The sequence below is a fragment of the Homo sapiens genome, chromosome 17 (assembly GCF_000001405.40).
Source record: "Homo sapiens chromosome 17, GRCh38.p14 Primary Assembly".
Lineage (NCBI taxonomy): Eukaryota > Metazoa > Chordata > Mammalia > Primates > Hominidae > Homo > Homo sapiens.
In genome coordinates, this window is record NC_000017.11 from 38,323,543 (window position 1) to 38,345,431 (window position 21,889).

General features: G+C 54.0%; 1 protein-coding gene across 1 annotated transcript, besides 2 other annotated features; it reads right to left on the reverse strand.

Moving 5' to 3' along the window:
- Positions 1,029-20,414, reverse strand: GPR179 (G protein-coupled receptor 179). Its single transcript, NM_001004334.4, has 11 exons — positions 19,454-20,414; positions 15,875-15,983; positions 14,091-14,178; positions 13,436-13,671; positions 12,534-12,602; positions 12,049-12,158; positions 11,491-11,729; positions 11,162-11,300; positions 10,391-10,496; positions 9,709-9,855; positions 1,029-7,989 (listed from the first exon to the last, which is right to left on the reverse strand). The coding sequence occupies exons 1-11, from the start codon at positions 20,245-20,247 to the stop codon at positions 2,923-2,925; spliced, it is 7,104 nt and encodes a 2,367-aa protein (NP_001004334.3). The 5' UTR covers positions 20,248-20,414; the 3' UTR covers positions 1,029-2,922.
- Positions 9,213-9,713: an enhancer, noted in NCBI's record as "H3K27ac hESC enhancer chr17:36488638-36489138 (GRCh37/hg19 assembly coordinates)". NCBI's record gives its function as "activates a minimal SCP1, AML or CMV promoter by ChIP-STARR-seq in naive H9 embryonic stem cells {active_cell/tissue: H9 hESC(naive)}" and the evidence as "EXISTENCE:reporter gene assay evidence [ECO:0000049][PMID:30033119]".
- Positions 17,789-18,313: an enhancer, noted in NCBI's record as "NANOG hESC enhancer chr17:36497214-36497738 (GRCh37/hg19 assembly coordinates)". NCBI's record gives its function as "activates a minimal SCP1, AML or CMV promoter by ChIP-STARR-seq in naive H9 embryonic stem cells {active_cell/tissue: H9 hESC(naive)}" and the evidence as "EXISTENCE:reporter gene assay evidence [ECO:0000049][PMID:30033119]".

Below are 21,889 nucleotides of genomic sequence, written 5' to 3' on the forward strand. Positions count from 1 at the left end.
TTTGTTTTTTAGAGATGGAGTCTTGCTCTGTCAGGCCCAGGCTGGAGTGCAGTGGCACGATCTCGGCTCACTGCAAGCTCCACCTCCTGGATTCAAGCTATTCTCCTGCCTCAGCTTCCCATGTAGCTGGGACTACAGGCATGTGCCACCATGCCTGGCTGATTTTTGAATTTTTTTTTTAGTAGAGATGGGGTTTCACTATGTGTTGGCCAGGCTGGTCTCGAACTCCTGTCCTCAGGTGATCTGCCTGCCTCATCCTCCCAAAGTGCTGGGATTACAGGTGTGAGTCACCATGCCTGGCCTGTTAAGTGTTAACTATGGAAACAAAGGTATGTATATTTAGGGAAGAGACAGCCCTGGTGTCTCTCATCAACCACTCTCATCATGCTGCTTAGTCCCAACCTTTTTGGCTTAAAGTGTACATCACTTTAATTACTGCCCAAGTGAGGTTTGGTCACATCCTATTTGCCTGAGCCCTGGATTAAGGCAAAATGAGAAGGGACGTGCTTTTGAGCAGGACCCACTGCCAGGGAGTATGGAGGAAGGGGAAATAATCCTTGCAGGGTAAGGAAGCAAAGAAATGAAAAAAAAAAAAAAAGCACACTTAGTGGGTAAATGATACATTGATTCCTTTGAATATGTAAAAATAGTGCTTCAAATAAGCTGTTTCATCCCACTCCCCTGGATATCTCAGGGTTCTCTAGATAATCCTAAATAGGAGCTAAGCAGTAGCTGCCACCAGAGAGCCAGAGGATGAGTGCAATTTCCATTTCCCCTTGGGATTAAATCCAGCTGAGCAAATGGCCTCCAGATGTGAGGGGCTGGCTAGAAGGACCAGGCAGAGACCATCTGCAGTGTCAGCACTGACCTGGGCACTAGCAGAGCATTAGCCAGATAACCCAAAGTCCCAAGACTGCAGTGCACCTTGAGCTTTGGAGCAGGCATTGTTCTTTCCTTATCTATCTTCTGTTACTGTTTAAAAATGTTAAAAAAAGATAATCATGAATAAGCTAGAGCCAACTGCAATGTCAAGAAAAAGCATTCTTTATTTCCGCCCCGCCCCCCCCACCCCATGGTTTATTTCACAAGAGTGTGTTTGGCGGCAACTTTGCTGTTTCCAGCTAGACCAGACCCAATGGGATTGTTTTGGGGTGCACAGCAAAATCCACTTTAGCTCAGAAGCCGTAAGGCTAACTAGCCAGAGCCCAGAACAACAACACACTTCAATTACTGCTCCAAAAGCCCAGAATAAGGGCCCTAGGTAAGAGAATGAGGACATCTGGTCCCCAAAGGAGAGTAGGTTACTCCATTCCTCTGTTCCCTTTTGGAAATGGAGTACTTTTTTACTTTCTCTGTGAAGTCCCATAACCGCCCAGCATATTTACATGCAGACTAGATGTTAATGGCTCTTTTTCCCTTTGGGTATTTGGTCTCCCTGTTTGTCTTTTTCTCCCCATGAATGACATCAATGTCTGTACTGTTGTACTGTTAGAGGGCGTGACTTACTGCCATCTTTAGTGCCCCTGTGCAGCTCTGCCTTCTCTAGCTGCCCCTTCCCCCCTCTCCCACCTCCCTTTGCCAATCTTGGGACTTCTTTGTATGTTTTTCTCCTTCTTCCTTTCCCTCTGGTATTATCATCTAATCCCAGCAATTTGTAATCTAGTACTGCTTAAGCAAGTGTAGCCTGAACTGACGAGAGAAGGGAGCCAAGAAAGAGAGAGCTCCCTAAGAAAGAAGGCTTTGTCTTCACACAGTGCCCTTTTCCCAGCTCTCAGGCTTCTAACTTGCCCTGTAGCACTCCTCTTTTAGAGGGCAGAAGAAGTAGAGTGCTGGCTGTGTACAGGACTGCCTTTCTTGAGCTCCTCTGGAAGGAGATTGATGTGGCCTCTTGTTACTGAGCAAGTGATTCTTGGGCGGGGAGGGGTGGGGGAGGGTGGATGGGTCTTGCATCAGAACCAGAGATTCCCCTTGACTCCAGTTGCCTTGACAAAAGAGAGAGGTCCTGTTGATGGCAGCGCTGAAAAGCTAGGGGGAAGGAAATGAGCCAGTGAGACGAGCTCTGGAGACTGGTGAGAGCTAGGGCAGGAAGAGGGGGAGACCCCCTAAAAAACTAGCAAGAGGCACACAAGGATGTCTGGAAGGAAGAGCTCCCTTGACTGTGGGGAGGACCTGGGGCAATTGCTTTTCTTCTGTGTTCTCTCTCTCTGATGTTGCTTTGGATGCCAGATGCTGATAAGGGTGTCAGCGTGCCTGATTGTTTCTGCTTCAGCAGTCAAGCAGGGCAGGTATGAGAAGCAATAAAGCAGAAACAGGAGATTCAAAGTCAAAATGACAAGGTCCTTAAAGCATTTTCAGGCCCCTATTTTGAGTCATTTTAGCTTTTCCCCCAATTTATCTTCCGCTTCAATTAAATGGCTCTTCAGCTTTCTATGGTGGCCTTTATAGCCTTCTGTGGTCCACCATCCCTACGTTGCCAACACTTTGTATGGTTTAGTTTCTTCTCAAAAAATGCTCCATCGTAGACTTCAGAGAATTGGGTCCCCCTGTGAGAGAAGGTAGGCTGGGCACAACTGACTTTTTTCATCCCTAACAGTGGCTTTGTGGGTGAGTGTCCAGACTCGGGTGGTTTGTGTTGTGAGTACTGTAGGTGGATGGGAGGCGTCCTTAGAAGTAGAGTGTCCAGTCTTTGTTTCCTCAAACAGGAAGAAAAGTTAGAAGTAAAGAGAGGGTGGGCCTTCCCATTGGGGTCTAAGCTGTACCCTTTTCATGCAGTTTGTCTTTGGGATGGGTTGACTTCTGGTCTTCTCAAGGAGGGGAAGTGGCCAAGCTGTCTTTGATTCAGCTCTTTGGGAACACCTGGACTTGGAAAGGGCCTTGGCTCCTGAAAGCTAGCTCTGTGTTTGACCTCACCTAATAAGGCTGTTACTCCCAATCCCAAGGATAGACAGTGGGAGGGGTGAATTCTTCATACTGAGCTTCAAAAGCCACTTGGCCTGAGTCTTCAGTTAAGGACGAAGACTGAGACTCAGCTTCCTGGAGACTTGGCTCTGGGGCTAAGCTGGTCCTTGGCTCAAGCCCTGAAGGTCCTTGTAGTTCTCTGACACCTTCTAGAGTGAAAGTACTGGCTGGCCTGCTTACCTTGGGGCAGGGGATTTTGCTTTCTGGAAAGAAGTGATCCAGAGGCCCATGGACTAAAAGGCATAGTGGTTTTTCAGGAGCTGTGGGGAAAAATTCTCTCCGAGTTGCTGTTAAAGCCAGGAGGCCAGATTCCTCAGATGGGACTCCAGTTTCCTCCCCAGGACAGATGTCTGCCATGGTACCCTTTATTTTATTTCCTTCTGGATCTGTGATTTCCCATTGGCACAGCTCTGCCATCCTGCTTCCCATGCTGCCTGCTTCCTTGGGGCTGACTTTGAGTTCTGGGTCCAGGGCACCTGACTGGGGCAAGAGCCCTCCTGAGCCTGTGCCTTCCCCAGGGCAGACTGCCTCCTGCTCTCTGGGCTTTGCTGCTGCTTTTGAGAAGTGTTCTTCCGTCCCTCCAGGTCCTGCCTTCTGAAGGAACATCTCTCCTTGCCCTTGTGATTCTCTTTCCTGTTCCCCTTCCTCTGCTGCTCCTCCACCCGCCTCCCAAGGGCAGATCTCTGCTTTCTTGGCAGAGGGAGCCTCTACCACTTCCCACAGACACACTTCCGCTACCCTGGTCTCCACACTGCCTGCTGCCTCAGAACTGCCTCTGCTTCTGTCAGAAGCATCTGGGGCTGGCTGTGGGGACAGACCCTTGCCATCTTGACTCTCCCAGGGACACACAGCCTCCTGCTGCCTGAAGTCTGCCATCTCTGGCTTTTTCTGAACTGGCACACCTTTTGGCTCTGATTTTTCTGGGGCTCTGCCTTTCTCTTCTTGAGAGTCCCCTTTTCCATCCTGCCTTGACACCCCTTTGACAGGGATTCTTTCAGTCACTTCCCAGGGACAGGTCTCAGCCTTGGCACTGCTGTCAGATTTATACACACCTGCATCAGGAACATCCCATGGGCACACGTCAGCGGCCCTGCCCCCAGTGCTGACCAGTCTCTGGGAGCTAGCTTTAGGTTGGTCAGGGCGCTGTCTGTCTAGGTGAGAGACGGAATCTGCTGGGGCAGTGGTCTCCCATGGACAGACGGATTGTAGCTCATGGCTTGTTTTTTCCCCATCTTCAGTAGTGAATTCTTCTGTGTCTGCAGCTGGAGCTTTTTCTTGGGTTATGTGTTCTGGGAAGGAACCTGTCTTTGGGTCTTGTCTCAGGTCCCCCTTCTCTGTTGCTTCCAAGGAATGTCCCTCTGCCACTTCACTACTCATGCTGCTGGGCAAGTCTGAGATCTTGGGGGCCTGAGCAGGGGATTCCCTCAAGTCCTTGTTCTCCCAAATACAAATAGTTTCCTGTTGTTGACACAGTTTTGCCATCCCTTTTGATACGTCTTCTCCCAGGGAAGTGAGTCTCCCCTTTTCTAGAGCTTTCTCCCTCTGCTCTGCTGATTCACTCCCTGCCTTTTGGTCCAATCCCTTCCCAGTAGTTCCTTCACTTACCTCCCAGGGACAGATCTTGGCTTTTTCACTGGTAGCAGCTTCCTGTGCTTCCCAGGGACACACTTCACCTGGCCTGCAGCCCATATGATCCAGTTCCTGGAACCCAGCTTTTGGTCCATCAGCATCTAGAGTACCTGGATGCTGAGAACAGGCCCCTGGACCCACACTCCCCCAGGGACAAGCCACCTCCCACTCTGGGGTTGGCTTCTGTGGCTTCTCTGGAGCAGTAACAGCTCTCTCCCTGGGTCCAAGATCTGCAGAAACCTTGCCTGTATCATTTGGAGATTTCCTAATGGCCTCAGCTCCCAAAGCCCTTTCCTCCCCTGCTCCAGCACCCACCTCCCAGGGACAGATTTCTGCCTTCCCAGCAGTCAAGTTTTCCTCCACATCCAAAGGGCAAATGTCGGCAGCTTTGCTTCCCACACTGCCTGACATCTGGAGAAGGGTTTGGGGTCTCTCTGTGTCTTGAGGACGTGGTTGTGGGGAGAAGCTGCCAGGGTCCACACTCTCCCAGGGGCCGACCGCTTCTTGCTTTTGGATCTGCCCCTCAGGCTTTTCCCAAGCTGTGACATCTTCGATTTCCGATTTTCCAGGCATTTTCTCCTTGTCCTTTTGAGATTCTCCTCCTCTTGGCACCTGTGCTGATGTCCATTCCTCTCTTGTTCTTTCATTTACCTCCCAGGGACAGATTTCTGTTTTGGCAGGTGTTGCTTCCTGTGCCTCCGGCCTGAGATCTTCCTGTGGACACACCTGCGTTGCTCTGCTTCCTCCATTGCATAGGAATTGGCTACCAGCTTTGGATGAGGAATTGTCTAGACATGGGCTGGAGTGCCCAGGGACCGTGCTCTCCCTGGGACAAACTGACTCCTGCTGTTGACTTAATTTCTGCACTGCTTTCACAGTTTGTTCCCCCATCTCTCCAAAGCTTCCTTTTCTGGAGGCTTTTTCCTTTTCTTGAAGAGATTCTCTACCTGTCCCCAGACTCAGCATTTCCTGCCCCATCACGTTATCATCCAGCTCCCAGGGACAGATCTCTGCTTTCTGGATAGCAGGAGCATCTCCTGCCTCCCACAGACACACTTCAGCAATGCCACTGCCCAAACTCCCTGAACACTCTGAGCTTCCTGGGGCCTGAATTGAGACTGCTGAGGGGCCCCGGAAATCTGTACTCTCCCATGGACAAAGAGACTCCAAGTCTCCTCCCGGTTTCTGTTCTTTCCAAAAGGTTGCTTTCCTGGTTTTCTGCTTTTCCTGAGGGAGATCCTTCACTGCCTCTTGGGCTGGTTTCCCATCCTCGCCTCCTTCACTTGCCTCCCAGGGACACGGCTCTGCCTTGGTGATGTCAGGGGTATGAGCTTCTGGGCCAGCAGCTTCCCACCCAGGCTTCTCCACCTTCCTGGCCTCCACACTGTCCCCCGCCTCAGATTTGTCTCTGATTCTGCCAGGGTCCTGAGGAGCTGACCCAGGGGACAGACCTCCTCGATCGGCACTCTCCCAGGGACACACTGCTTCCTGCTCCCTCACCAGCCTCTCTGGCTTTTTCCGCATCATGGGAACCACATCTATGGGCTCTGATTTTCCCCGGGCCTCCCCTCTCTTTTTTTGGGAGTCACCTGGGTCTTGTCTTAGTGCCCTCGACTCTGGGGCTCCTTCACTCGTCTCCCAGGGGCAGATTTCGGCCTTGTTGCCACTGTCTGGCTGACGCGTTTCTGATTCAGTGACCTCCCAGGGGCATACCTCTGCCACCCTGTGGTCAGCGCTGCCCAGGGACTGGAGGCCAGCTTTGGGCAGTTCCTGCCACCCGACAGGGGTTTCTTTTGATTGCTTGATGTTTTTGTCCCTGGAAACTTGCCTCAGCATGGCAAGCCCTGTTTTACCTGCTCTCTCAGCTTTCCGTTCCCCTAGACCCTGGGTCATCCTCCTGCCTCTGTCTTCTTGTTCCCTGCTGCCCTCCCGTTGACAGACTTGGAGCATCCTGCTGGTGTGAGCGTTCTGTTGGTTCTGGAGGGACTCCTTGTCATCGGAGGGGATAAGAGCGGCCTGCTTACTCACCGCCTTGGGCCGGCCTAGCCTGGGCGATCGGGAGGGTGCCCCCATACTCTCTCCCGCAGTCCCGCTGTTCTGCCCCTCGGGACTCTCCTCCACACTCTCCTTCTCTCTGTAGGTGCTCCGAGAACGGGTCAGAGCTTTAATCGCCAGCCCCAGGCTGCGCATGGAACCCTGCTGAACAGGGGCCTTGAGGCTGTGGGATTTAGGGAAGATCTTGGGCCTGTCTTCGTCCACATCATTAGCTTCCCTCTGGTGATGTGCATCCTCTGCGTCCATCTCATTCTCCCCAGCCCTGCTTTTCTCTACTGCAACAGAGAGGGCCCTCCAGAGCCTGGCTCGAGCTGGGGCAGGGGAGTGGTGGCCTCGCTCTGGCCCTGAGGGGCCTTCCTGGGGCACATTTTCTTGCTTGGCTGGCAGTTCTGCGTTCTCCCAGGGGCAGATGTAGGTGAGTAAGTTGGGGCTTTGTGGGGATACTGGGACTGGTGCCAGGGCAGGGGCTGGGGTTGGAGCTAGAGCTGGCAGCAGAGCTGGAGCCAAGGTGGAGGTGGGAGATAGCATCCTTGGCTCTCCCAGGCCCCCAGACAGGGCCAAGATGGGGGTAGAAACCTGGTGCCTGATGGGTGGATGAGGCAGCCTTCTCCTAGCCTCCTCATGAAGCCTCCCAGAGGTGTGAGAGCTGTCCACGCTGCTGCTCTTGGCAGGGGAAGGTGGAGCTGACAGGGGGGCCCCTCGAGGCCGCTCCAGCCTCCTGGCTGATGGCCTCCGCACCAGGCTGGCCATGGCTGCCTTGGCCTTCTTCCGCTCCTCCCGCTCCTTTGCTTGCCGGTAGGTCTCCTCCAGGTAGGCCTGGCTGGCCATGAGCAAGGCCTTTTCCCTGGAGCTGGCCACACTGAGCGACTTCTGCAGAGAGGCGGGCCGGGCTCTGGGTAGCCTCTCTCCCACCGTCAGGTTGTGGGCGCTGGCTGACCTGAAGCCCAGGGCAGGGGGCCCCTCCACCGACTCCCGGCTCTCTGTTCGAGAGGCCTTCTTGGCCAGCTTCCTCCTCAGCAGTGAGTCAAGAAGAGGCGGGTCCTGCTCCCTGCGCTGGTCATAGGTGCTGCGGGACTTGTGCAGAGCTGGTGTCCCCTCGGGTTCCTGGAGGCTGGAGCTGAGGAGCCGGCGGCGGGAGGAGCCGGGCAGGCTGCCGTGGCCTGGGGATCCTGAGTCCCGGGAGTGCTGCCTGGCCAGGGCCTCGGGGAATTCCGCCAGGTACCTCATGAAGGAGCGGCCCAGTCCCTGGCATGAGCTGCCTCGCTTCTTGGGCAGGTGGGGGTTGTTTGCGGCCATTTCCTTGGTTTTGTGGACCTCTAGCTGGGCATAGAGCTTCTTCAGCTCGTCCTGTGGGGCAGCAGGGAGGAAAGCAGGGCTGCAGGTGAGCTCTCTCCATCCCCTGGCTGTCTGTTCCTCCACCCTTGCCTAGACCTTTTTCCCTTAGGGATCTCTTTCCATCAAGCTGTATCTCTTCCCTGCTTCTAAAACTCTCGTAATTCACCTCTTTGTTCCTGTGAGACCAGTTGCCAACCTGAGTCCCAGCCAGATCCAGTCAGCTCGGAGGACTCATGTGTACCCCCTTCTCTGGGGCATTGTGGTCTAGTGGGAAGTTAGTAGCTTGGGGACACTCAATATGCTGTGTCCCTGGAGGCTGTTTTCATGACCCCTCCCTCTGAGCCTCTGGATCTTCTGTAAAGCAATGTTACCTGGGTGACCAGTGTTAACTTCCTTAAGAGCATTATATGAGATTGATGAGACTAGTGGGTTTGAAATATGCAGTGTTCAGGTGTAAATGATGGAACGGGGCTTTAGAAGTCTTCTGTTCTGGGTTTCTCCCCAGATCCAGCATAGGGGCCGCAGATTGGCTTGTGTTCCAGAAAGTGGAGGGTCAGGGGTGGAGCTGCCCCTCCATACTCCCTGGCCCTTCAGCTGGATTGGGGTCTCAGGAGGCAGGGCAGGCAGAGCTCAGAGGGTGAGGACACAAGGGGGAAACGGGCAGAGGCACTGGAACAAGGAAGGACTCAGGAGATGCAGAGGACTCTGCTTTGTGGGCCTGTAAACAAGTCAGGTGTGAAGACGGCCCCAGTAGAGGTGGAGGGGGTGGACAGAATGGCTTCCCATGATGGTTCCTAGACTCTGGATTGTATAAAACAATGGGCTTAGATTATCAGCTCTCCTTGTATCTTACCCACTGAGCCTCTTGTTAGGGTTCTGGTGACTATAATGATCCCCTTGAGCACAGAAATGAGAATAAGCATGCTTTTCCAGTGTAGACCCAGGAAGAACTTCCTCTAAGACCTGCCAGGTCCAGGGAAAGGGGATCCTGGTGGCTACTCACTGCCTGAACTACCCAGCCCCACAGCTGGCCCTAGGCTGGCCCTAGGTGCCCTAGGCACCAACCATCCTGCTTTGCTGGGGGCTGAGGCTTTTTTGTGTGTGTGTGTCAGAATCTTACTCTTTCACCCAGGCTGGAGTGCAGTGGTGCGATCTCAGCTCACTGCAACCTCAACTTACCAGGCTCCAGTGATCCTCCTCCCACCTCAGCCTCCTGAGTAGCTGGGACCACAGACATGTACCACCATGCCTGGCTAATTTTTGTATTTCTAGTAGAGACGAGATTTCGCCATTTGGCCAGGCTGGTCAAACTCCTGGCCTCAAGTGATCCGCCTGCCTTGGCCTCCCAAAATGCTGGGATTACAGGCATGAACCACTGTGCCCAGCCAGCTGAGGGGTTTCTTAGACTGCCCCCGACCTGATGCCCCTGCTGAGTGAGAGTGGAGGATGCGAAGGAGTAGGGCTCCACTCTCGGCCCTGCCTCTAGCTTGCCACATGGCCTGAGCCTCCGGGATCTGGTTCTGGGGCTTTGGGGTCTTCCCACTTGGGTGTGTGTGGCCTCCTTTGAATAGAGTCAGGGGAATCAGTTTAGGCCAGTGGAGAAGGGAGAGGGCAGGTCTTGGAGGGAAGAGGACTTGCAGTGGCACATAGCCCAGGTGGCAGGGCCCAGTCCTCCCTCTGCCCAGTTCCTAAAAGCTAGCATTGAAAGGAGGCAGGGAGGGTGGCACATACCCGAATGTCTCCAGGGTCCAGGCTGTGCTCACTCCAGGCTGAGGCGATGCTGCTGCCAAGGTAGGAGCCTGAGTGCTGCAGGTCCAGCTCGTCCTCACACACCTCATCCACCATCTCCTCCCGGGGAGGAGCCCCCAGCTTCCAGAACTGGCAGGGGTGCATAAGAGTGGGAAAAAGACTCGCCCTGGCTCCTTGTCCACTCCTGCACTCACCTGCCCTGTGGAATGCGTCCTTACTTTGTGACGCTTCACCCCCTTCTCTGACTTGGAATTCTGGGGATCTTTAGAGTTTTACTCCCCTCATCCTCCCTGACCTTCTCTAGCTCAGACAGCAGGGTGGTTCTAAGCCCCTGACCCTGCAATTCCTAGCCGGGTCCTTCAGCTCTCCCACCTCTCCCTGTATACCTGCTTCTGAGTAGATTTTCAGAGTGTGCCAACCTTCCAGCTGCAGGAGGGAGCCCCTCCAGCCCTGGGTTTTCTTTCCCTTGCCCAGGAACTGGAAGCAGAGAGTGTCCCCACTCAAGTCAGCTCCTAGCTTAGGGCCCCTGGCACTGTGCTCACTCACCCAGCACCTTCTGTCGTCCTCACCCTGGCCTGCAGAGGGCGCTGCGGGACAACCGCTCCACAGTGGCCCTGACAGAGGGGCTGGGGTCCACCTCACAGGCAGGAGGGGAGGGCCTCACCTTAGGGATGAAGATCAGAGCCAGCGTGGTGGTGACTGTGCTGTGGGTGTGGAAGAAGAAGAGGAGGAGGGTCCAGTCCGGGTGCAGAGAGGGAACCAGCACAAACCTGGGGCGGGATAGGGGCGCAGGTCATTACTGCAGGCAGGAGTTGCCTCTTCTGCTTTGCCTTCTCACTGGCGTTTCACCTCAGCCCCAACCCTGATACGCTTAGGACGAGGGGGCATTCTGCCCTCTCCTGCCCTCTCCAGGATTTAGGTCCCACTTCAATCCTGTTAATCCCAACCTCCAAGACGCCCTCCCAGAATACTCCAGCTCACTTTCTTTGGCTGTGTATAGCACAGACCTGTGCTCCAGACTCTTAGGCCCACTCTGTGGGTTAACTCTGCCTCCACCACAGGGTCTGGTCGTTATGGACAAACAGCAGCCTGCTGCTCTTATGGCTGAGGAGTGAGGGGAGAAGGCAGGGAGGACTGAGCATGTGTGGAAAGGGGTATGTTGGGGTGCTGGAGAGGTGCTTTGGGAGGGGTGAGGAGTTAGGAGGAAGGTCCTCTTCCTCCTCTTCTGTGTTGGGGGCCTCCTCACCTGGGCCAGGCATGGAGTACAGAAGGGGCATCTGGGGGGTAGGGAGAGAGCCAGAAGTGGGGGCCTTCGTCAACGTGCTGAGGCGTAGCAGTGTTGCCAGGATGGCATGGGATGGGGGCACCTCACCTGGGAGAGGTGAGGAGTACTGTTAGAGTGGAAGGGGGTGTGGGGAGGTGAGTCCGTCCTCACCTGGCTGTGTGGAAGGCAGCGGAAAGCAGTAGCTCATTGTGCAGGGCGATGCCCATGTAGCGTGGCTCATGGAAGGCCGAGAGCACAGCCCGTGTGGCGTAGCAGAGGAAGCTGCCCCAGCACAGCAGCAGCAGCTCAGCTGTGGGGAGACAGGGAGGGAGAGAGCCGGCACCACCTCAGCAGCTGTCCCACCCCTTTCTCTGAAAGATGTGCTGGGGGGAGCCTGGGCTCGGGGTCTGGGGACAAGTCAGGAGAACCAGAACAAGAGGAACCCTGGAGGCACAGAGGCAGGGACCAGCGTAAGGCTGGGCTCAGCAGAAGCAGCTCACCCACAACCATGATGTAGTCCCAGCGGTCGTGGTGACAGAGGTAGAAATGGCGGCCACTGGGAGTGTGGCCTCGGATCACCAGAGGTGCGTGCTGGATGCCTCGCTCCAGGGCGCCCACGGTCCACACAGCCAGGAAGCCCAGCACAGGTAGCAGGAGCAGCCCCAGGTGCCGCAGCAGCCGCCCGCTGCTCAGAAGGGCACTCCGCTGGGCCGTTCGAGACAGAAACAGCTGCAGCACTCTGCGAGGGTTAGAATACACAGGGTGGATGGCAGGGACCTGGGTGGATCACGAAGAGGGTGCCAGCGCCCTGGTCTCTGTCCATTGCTGCCCTCTCCTCCACACAGGTACTTGTCCTTCCATCCTTTTTGTGATTTGCTGCCTTTTGCTACCCCCCCACAAAGTAACATGGAAGACAAGGCTATGGTGATGGGGGTTGGCCTTGGGGGTAGAGGGGAGTGGGGCTGGCAAGGGTCTGGCTTTGAAAAACACCATTCCATGAGTGAGCTGGGGTGGTCTGGGATGAGCAGCATGAGAGCAAAGTCTGCCCCAGGCCGTACCTGTAAAGCTTGAGTATGATGGTGCCGTAGACGATGGCAAAACCCAGCAGCCGCACCCAGCGAAGAGCGATGCAGCGGAATACACTGGGCTTGAAGTATAGGATGAAGACCTGGTGGGAAGGGGCAAAAATCTCTGCTCTCTACTATGCTTCTGCTGTGGGCCAGGCCTATGCTAAGCACACTGTGGATCCTCCCAACAGCCCTGCAATAGAGCCATCACCACCTTCATTCTGCAGAGGAGCAGCTGAAGTGTCAAAGAAGTTAGGTAACTTGCCCTAAATCACACTGCAAGTCACAGAGCTCCTAATAAGCCTGAGGCTCCAGAGCTCATAGACCAGCTTGCCATTTGTGGGTAAGAGTAGGGGAAATCTGTGGTCTCTGAATCCCTTCCAGAGGGCAGAGAAGGGTTCTGGGGCTTGGAGGGTGCCAGGTTTTGGCTATGGGGGATGCTGGAAGGTGGGGCCAGCCTGTGGCCACAGACTCACAGGAAAGTAAAGCAGCAGGAATCCAAAAAGGACAGTTTCCAGCAGGACCACTCCAGATGCCCAGATCCTCTGTGAAGCAAGGAGAGAGGCATGTGAGCAGAGTCTGGACGATGGTTCTAGAGGCTCTCAGGCCTATGTGAACGGTCACTCAGTGACCCTGAGCTAAGGCTTCACCCTGTAACACTGGCTCTGCCCTCTCTGCCCACATCCACGTCCCTTGTTACCCCAGGCTCAACTCCACTGGCACTAAACATGGCTAAGGCCAAGGTTTTACATCATTCCCACACACACATCCCTGTGTTCCTCCCAGTCTTGCTCAGGGCCTTGCTGCAGACCTAGGCTCAAATCAGAGGCTGCTGGAGCTGGAAGGGATCTCATGCATTCCTCAAGCGTTGGGTCAGGCTGCTCCCTTGTCTAGAATAGGGTACCCCTTCTTGGCCCAGTAAGTATCCAGTTAACCTTCAAGCCTGGCTCATGTCACATCCAGAAAGTCTTTCCCATGCCATCTCAGGCAGGATGACTTTCTGTAAGCTCCCACAGCAGCTGACAGACACCTCCATCCTTGCCCCCATCTCACTGTGCTGTCATTTTATTTACATGTCTGCTTCCTCCATTAAACTGGGAACTCCATGCAGGCCCAGATCACTTCCATTTGAGCCTAGGCAGTGTTTTGCTTAGAGTAGATACTCAACTAGCATTTATTGAATCAAGTTCAATGCCCTTATTTTACAGATGAGGAAGCAGGTCCAAGGCGGAGAAATCACTTGCATCATGCTACACAGTGAGTTAGATTTAGAATCAAGATTAGAACCAATTTCTCCTAAATTCTGGTCTTAGGTAGTCTCAGGCCTCCAGTTGAGATGGGTCGGACATGTGTGTAGGAGGTGTGGGGCCTTCCTTGCCTTGTTCCGGCGGCAGCGGTAGGAGACCAGCATGCTCAGGAAGATGGCCAGCATGCAGCAGGCCTGGCAGGCCAGCACAGCGGCCCGCAGCACCGCGGCCTCTTCCACCAGGCACGGTGTGGCATCCATGCAGCTGGTGCAGCCCTCAGGACATGGCAGACACTGCAGCAGTCTCCCAGATCTGCCTTCTGGGAACCCGAATTGCCCGGTAGTCTGGAAGTCACTCTCCTCTAACCCTATAAAGAACAAGATGAGTGCAGGGAGAGGGGCCCAGCTAGAGCATCCTGACATCCCAGCCTTTTCCCTGATAGTCACCACAGCCCTCTCCCTGTTCTCCTGTGATCTGGGGCTCCAGGGACAAGTGGGAATGGGTGCTTCCTTGGGAGGGCAAAGTACCAGGAAGAGGTGACACCAGGCTAGGGCTCCTTGAGAGGCCAACTTGCATCATATTTGCATGTTACAGGCTCATACTCAGAAGGTGTAGACACCCCCACACTGCAACCTGCTTGCCTCTCCTGCCTCTCTCAACCTTCTGCCCTTGCCCCACAAGTTCCCTCCCAGTGTCTCACCCCAATCTGGCTTTCTTCCCCAGATGTACCCTCCCAACCATCCTCTCATGTAAAACACATGCCTGGCCCCCACCACACTTACATACCCCCAGAGGGGCTTGCCCCGTAGAATCCAGGTCGGCAGCGGCAGAGGTAGCGGCCAAGAACAAAGCCCTGACTCTCCAGGGGGACACACTATGGGGACAACAAACACAGTATGTGTTTATGTGGGGCTTTCTCTGGAAGAGCTTTCCCTCCTGGGAGAGATGGAGGGTCCATCTACCTCCCTATCCATGGGACTTGGGTCCACACTAGGGAATCCCTCCAGAAGCCCTCTCTAGTCCTTGGGAAGCCTTCCCTCTGTGGAAACCCTACCTGACCCCTGCTGTTGCCTCTCTTCCCAAAGAGACCCTAAGCAAAGAGTACAGGGAGAAATCACCCTTTTGTTCAGACTGGCAGTGACAGGAGCCTCATAGGACCCATTTCCTAGTGGCCAGCTCTTGCTAGGGCAAGGTACTGGGGGAGATGGAAGTAGGGAAAGTTCTGAGCCCAGCCATACCTTGTGTGCCTACATCCTACTTCAAAGGGTCCCCATCAGCTTCCATCTTTGGCACACAAATGGACTGGAAAGGCCCCCCACGGAGGAGCAGCTTCCTTCACCAGGGACCATCTGGCTTTCGCACAGGACTGTTTTTCCCAGCCTTAATGCCAGGCTAATGCCAGGCTGGTGGGATGCCAAGGCCAGCCTTTATTCCACCTCCTCCTATTGATGTTTGCCCGGCAGGGGACAGAGCAGACCTCAGAGCCAGGCAGGGAATATGAACAAATGAGGTCAGATCTATTGTGGGGAGTGGCTGGGAACAGACATCAGTGACGCAAATGAAAGGGTTAACCTTGGAAGATTCTATATCGAGCCCCTGACCTCACTTAGTAGGGTTAGTGTGTGGTGCTTGTGAAGCTGTGGCCCAACTTCCCCTCTTGCTTGGACCACTGGACTACACAGTCTGCACAATTAGACAAACATGCACCCAGAGAAGTGAATGTGTCTGGGTTAAACAGTGAACTGGATGGTGGGAGCCCTTTTCCATCCCTCCACCTCTAGCTGCAGACACATGTGCCCTGAAGAGCAGTAGAACCACCTGTGCACACAGAACAATATGCCCACCAGCCCCAGCAGGCCACAGGGCTCGCCCTGGCTTTGGCTCAGCTCAGGAACAAGCATGCAGTGATTGTAACCATGGAGCGGGTGAATTCACTGGCCTCCCAGTTTCCCAGTACTGGGTTTGCATGATTTCCAGCCAGTGCTCTCCATCACTGTGAGTCACCTGCACCCGTAGCTTTGAATCTACCTGCATCTGGCCCAGGTTCCATCACATTCACTGGTCCCAGGCCTCTTCGAGCTCCTTGGTTGGTTAGATTCCTCCCATACTCCAACCAGCAATTCCATTTATTTCAGCAATATGGAACACCCTTTTGTAGACAGACCAATGGAACATCCTTTGTGGGCCAAGAGGAGCCCAGAGCTGTGTTACATGAAGAATGTGTTCCCGGGGGAAGGAAAGGAGATAAGTAACTGAGGCTCAGGAAGTCACCCTGGGGAGGGGTCCTGGAGCACTGAGTACCAGAAAGGAGAGCAGACAGGAAGAACACTGAACTTTCAAAGGAATGAGGGCAGGAGCAGGAGGAATAGGGGGTGGGGGGGCAGGCTGTAGGTGACCTGACTTTTTAAAAGCCTGGTATCTCACCTCTGCCAATCACTAGGAACTCCCCTGAAGCCCTGAGATGCTGGGGTAGCTTTGTCTGCTGCTCCTGGGAGCTGCATGGTGGCGGTGATGGGAAAAGGGGAGGGAGGCAGGACTCTAGTAGCGCCCCCCATCCTCCTCATCCTTACCTGGGTGCTGTTGAGATCACACAGGTGTGTGTTAGAGTACCAGCCTGGGCCACTTGCACACTGATTGATGTCCACACTCTGGAGATCTACGTCCATCTGCACCTGCCCCCTACGGCAGTGAATTGGCAATTAGGGGCACAGTGATTGATGCCAAAGTGGACGTGTGTCCCTGGGCGTTGTTGGGGCCCAGAAAATGATGCTCGGAATTATGGCACTTTGGCATGCTGAGGACTTTGAACTAAAGGAGATTAGAAGGGTTCAGAAGTAAGGTCTCTCCGACCTTCTCCTTCTCTCTTGTCTCCTGCCCCTCTTTCTCCCCGCTGAAGTGAGTTCTAGAAACCAGAATTCCCCTTCCCCAAGGCAGGTCATAGAAACTAGAATCCCCCTCCCCCAGAGCAAGATATAAAACCAAGAACTATTACTCTCATCTTCCCCTGCCTTTCTGTGTAGGAGCTGGTCATAAAGAAATTCTCTGGCCTGCCTTGACTGATAGTAAGTAGGTCATATGACCCTCATTCCAGAGGGATCCTGCCCTGTACCTGGGAGGAAGGATGCTACATAGACAGGCCAAGAGGAAGCTGAACAGAGGCCTGGCTGAGTTTCCCTATTTGGTCTACTACCATTAGATCATAGACTTTTTTGTCCAATCACAGTTCTACAGGGCTGACCATGCTTCATGGAATCTAAGCATAACAATGAACAGTTTTCCCTGAGTCTATTCTTTCTTTTTTTTTCTTAGACACACAGTCTTGCTCTGTTGCCCAGGCTGGAGTGCAGTGGCATGATCATAGCTCACTGCCACCTCCACCTCTTTGGCTCAAGTGATTCTCTCACCTCAGTCTCCAAAGTAGCTGGGACTACAGGCATGTGCCACCATGCCTGGCTAGTTTTTAAAAATTATTTTTAGTGGAGACAAGTTCTGGCTATATTGCTCAGGCTGGTCTTGAACTCCTGGGCCCAAGCAATCCTCCCACCTCAGCCTCCCAAGTAGCTGGGACTACAAACATATGCCACCATGCCTGGCTAGTTTTTAAAAATTATTTTTAGTGGAGACGAGCTTTGGTTATATTGTTCAGGCTGGTCTTGAACTCCTGGACTCAAGCCATCCTCCCACCTGGGCGTCCCAAAGTGCTGGGATTATATGTGTAAGCCACTGAGCCTCTGCCACTGGGTCTTCATTTCTGAAGGCTCCTGTGTCATGTAAAACTTTGGCTAAATAGGCGGGGTGCAGTGGCTCATGCCTGTAATCCCAGCACTTTGGGAGGCCGAGGCAGGTGCATAATCTGAGACCAGGAGTTCGAGACCAGCCTGGCCAACATGGAGAAACCTTGTCTCTACTAAAAATACAAAAATCAGCCGGGCATGGTGGCTCATGCCTGTAATCCCAGATACTCAGGAGGCTGAGGCAGGAGAATCGCTTGAACCCAGGAGGCGGAGGTTGCAGTGAGCCAAGATGGCGCCACTACACTTCAGCCTAGTGACAGAGCAAGAGTCCATCTCAAAAACAAACACACAAACAAACAAACAAACAAAAAACTTTGATTAAATAAATTTGTTATGCCTTTCTCTTGTTAATCTGTCTTTTGTTATAGGAGTATTGTGACCCTTATGATGAGTGAGGAAAGGGATCACACTTTTCTGCCCCTACAGGCACTAGATCTGGGGACAATGCAGTCTTTGCAAACTTTAGCCCAGCACCTGCAGTGTGTGCGAAGGGCATGCATGTATTCCATTTCTCCAGTATTATGAATGTTCACTGTCTCTGTGGACAACAGTCTTCTTTCTACTAGGTTGTTCTCTCCACCCCTCAGCTTTTTGATATCCTATCATTTCCTGGTTTCTGTCAAGGAGGAGAGACAGGGCGCATGTCAAGACATGGCAGGAGTCAGGGCTCTGATGATCTCTGAAGAGGATTTTCACACTTCCTCATGCATGTACACACGCACACACACAGAGATCAGCTCAGCTATTAACCATCTCCTCTCTCTGCCCAAGCCAGGTCTGAATTGATCACAGCAAAGGAGATATGAAATAGAGGAGCCCTGACCTGGCACTGCCTGGACCAGCAGTTCCCCAGCCTTTGCTCTGGGCTGAGCTGGCAAGGAGCCAGGCTGCCTGCTGGCAGGAGGAGAACCCTGCTGGGAACAATGAATGGGGACACAGAGCTGGAGAAGCAGTGTTGATTGTTGAATGCCCTGCAGTCCTAGGCTCAGTCGCTGCTCCCTTCCCAATAGGACCCTCAATCCTTCTTTCCTGTGGTTGAGGGAGGAGGTAGTTTACTGGAGGAGAATCACAAGCTTCTGCGTCAGGACAGGCAGGATAGTGCGGCCTGCTTGGTTTAAGAAGATGGCCCTGGGGACTCAGCCAGCTCCTTGGCAGAAAGAGCATTGATTCCAAGCCCCCTCAAGAGTTTTCCTTCCGCTGGGTGTGGTGGCTCACACCTGTAATCCCAGCAATTTGGGAGGCCGAGGCGGGCAGATCACTTGAGGTCAGGAGTTCGAGACCAGCCTGGCCAACATAGTGAAACCCCATCTCTACTAAAATACAAAAAGTAGCCAGGTATGATGATGCGCACCTGTAATCCCAGCTACTCAGGAGGCTGAGGCAGGAGAATCATCTGTACCTGGGAGGCTGCAGCTGCCGTGAGCCGAGGTTGCACCACTGCACTATAGCCTGGGCGACAGAGCGAGACTCTGTCTTGAAAAAAAAAAAGTTTTCCTTCTCCGGGGAAGCCTCATTTTACAGCTCTCAGTTGCTAGAGAGCAGTAGGTTGAACGCCTGGAGTGCCCACCCAGCTCTCCACTAACAAGCCTGGTGCATAGATTGTCACTGTCATCCACACCAAGACCTCTCCTGCCTCTTGCACTCCCTTCTCAGGCCTGGGGGCCAAGACCTCTGCCTGTCTATACTGACACATCTTTTTTTTTTTTTTTTGAGACAGAGTTTTGCTCTTGTTGCCCAGGCTGGAGTGCAATGGCGTGATCTCGGGTCACCGCAACGTCTGCCTCTGGGGTTCAGGTTCAAGTGATTCTCCTGCCTCAGCCTCCTGAGTAGCTGGGTTTACAGGTACTCGCTACCACACCCAGCTAATTTTGTATTTTTAGTAGAGATGGGGTTTCTCCATGTTGGTCAGTCTGGTCTTGAACTCCTGACCTCAGGTGATCCACCCGCCTCAGCCTCCCAAAGTGTTGGGATTACAGGCGTGAGCCACTGCACCCAGCTATACTGACATATCTCTACACACATGTGTATACCTGCATATAGATGTATGCTACATATGTATACCTATTTGTATATGCACAGGCTCACAGACATTCCTGCATGTGCTCAAGCACATAAACCCAGATAAATATGGATTGATTTATACACATGTACACTCACACCTGTATGTGTTAACAGATAGTTGCAGATTCCCAGAGCCGACTGTAAGTACACACAGCTGAGTACAAATACCCACATCTGTGTGCCCCCCAGGCATGCACATGTTCGTGCCAAATGGCCCAGGCACAGCTGAGGGGACCTGTACTTCCTTCCCCTACATCCCCACACATGCATCAAATCCTGCACAAACCCACTTACCTGACTTCTGGGCTGAGGTCTGGCTTGAGTCCATAGAAGGTGGCAGAGAGTGTGATCAGCCATCCAGGTCGGAGCCGTCCCTCCTGGCATTCCAGGAAAGGAGGAGACAGCCTCACCTGCTGCGTGTCCCCCACATATCCATCTGCCTGCGGCCACTTGGGGCTGCCGAGGCTCCCTAGGTCATTGGTCAACACTCGCTTCTTCAGGGCAGGGGTGTCCAGGTCCCCAGGAGGGTTCTCCTCCTGCACCCAGTTCCCAGACAAGTCCTGCAGGATGGTTTCCTCCCCAGTCCGGGTGGCCTGCAGGGCCAGCTGTAGGTGGCTGGCCCCTGGTGGAGGGTTAAAGGTCAGCAAAGCCCTGTACACTCTTGGGTCCCCCTCGGCCACGCTGCGGACCAGTGCCTGGTACCATTCCACATCCTCCTCCACACTGGACTCACGGATGTCGTTGGCTTGCAGCAGCATGTTGAGAAAATTGGCGGCCTGGGCAAGGGTGCCCGCTGCCCCCTGTAGGCTTGGGGGGAGCCCTGGCATGGCTCCTGCCCCACGCGCTTCATAGCGCTCACTGCAATTCACCTGTGATAGCTGCTGGGCATCTCCAGAGTAGAGATAAGCGAGGGCGGCCTCGGCCCCCTCTAGGGGCACCTGCATGGGTACAGATCCTGGCTTGACTTGGGAAGACAGAGGGGGCAGAGAGCGGATGGGCCGTGGACCCCCCAGAGCCCAGGCACAGACAAAACAGCAGCCCAGCAGCCCCCACATAGGAGGGGGCATGACCGCTCCCCTGGTGCCCATCCTTGGGGCAGCTCTCAGGACCCTGGGGTCCAGGCTCAGGAGAGCCCAGGCAGAGGCTGGCTGCAGTCTGGGGGCTGTCGGCCTCCACGCCTCCTATGCTGGCGTTCCTTCTTCCTCTCTCCGTCTCCCTCTCACGCTGGTGCCAGCTCGCCTGCTTTTTTCTTCTCTCTAACGTCACCAGCTGGCTTCTGGATGTAGGTATGAGGGCCCTGCCCCCTACTGTCTCAGTGCGGCCCCCTATCTCAAACCTCTTAATCCCAGCACCCCACTCTTTCCTCCCCTCCTATCCAGTATTCAGGCTCCCTCCATCCCCCATCCACATCTGCTCCCGAGGGAGAGAGATGGGAGGGAAGGGGAGACGAAGGCACCAGTTGTGCTCTTTCTCCCTCCCTCCCTCTGCCTGCCCTTTGCTCCATTAGGAGAGATGGGCAAATCCAGGATGGGGCACCATAGCAACCGCAGATGAGCTTGTGCCCCTCTCTCCACCCCTCTGCTCCACTCAGGCTCCTGGCAGCAATTGCAACAGGCACACTAAGGGGCCAAGCTGCATCTCCTGGCAGTCTGCGCTGGCTGCCTGCACCCCCCTGACCCTGTGCTGCTGAGCTGGGATTTGAGAATGGGGATGTTGAGGGCAGGAAAGACAGCCTAATAGTACCGTAATTGGTCTTTGTACAGACTGAGGCAGCTTATAAGGTGCTTTTCATGTGCCTTATCTGAATGAGTCTTCCCCACAGCCATGTATGGTGAATGTTCTTATCCCCATTTCACAGATGCAGACACTGAGACTCACCCAAGGTCACAAAGCAGCTCACTCAGAGACTTACATCCAGAGCTCTGACTCCCCTACATTGCCCATCCAAACCACCACCATCACCGTTACTCAGCCTCAGGGACTATAACAAAGCCTCCTAGCAGAGGCGTCAAGGGACTTCCCTAGAACCACAGTGTTGTTTATGACAGAGCCGCAGCCTCCACCCAGGTGTCCGTCCCTACAACCCAGGCCTCCTTCTGAACCAAAGTCGACAAGCACAGTGGCAATGGTGGCGGGAGAGAGGTGGGCAAGGAGAAGACAGTGAACACAGTTTTGCCTCCATTTCTTACACCTTCATTTTGTCATCCTAAGTTCTACCTTCTTCTTTTTTTTTTTTTTTTTGAGATAGATTCTTTGTCCACCCAGCTGGAGTTGCACCAGCGTGATCTCGGCTCACTGCAACCTCTGCCTCCTGGGTTTAAGCGATTCTCCTGCTTCAGCTTCCTGAGTAGCTGGGACTACAGGCATGTGCCACCATGCTCGGCAAATTTTATTTTATTTTTTTTTTTAAATTTTTTAGTAGAGACGGGGGTTTCACCATGTTGGCCAGGCTGGTCTCGAACTCCTGACAAGTAGTCTACCTGCCTCAGCCTCCCAAAGTGCTGGGATTACAGGTGTGAGCCACTGCACCTGGCCCCTTCTCCTTTTCTTCATGAAAACTGTGGCTACTCTCTCTCGCTTTTCCCCATTTTTCTTACCCCTCACCTCCTTCCTGCTGCTAGGCACAGTAACTGGGGGGCCCTGAGTCAGTGCTGTCTGAGCCGGCCTCCTTGGATCCGGAAGGGCATGGATTCTTGGGGAAGCCACAGAACAAAGCTCCTGCCTGCCCAC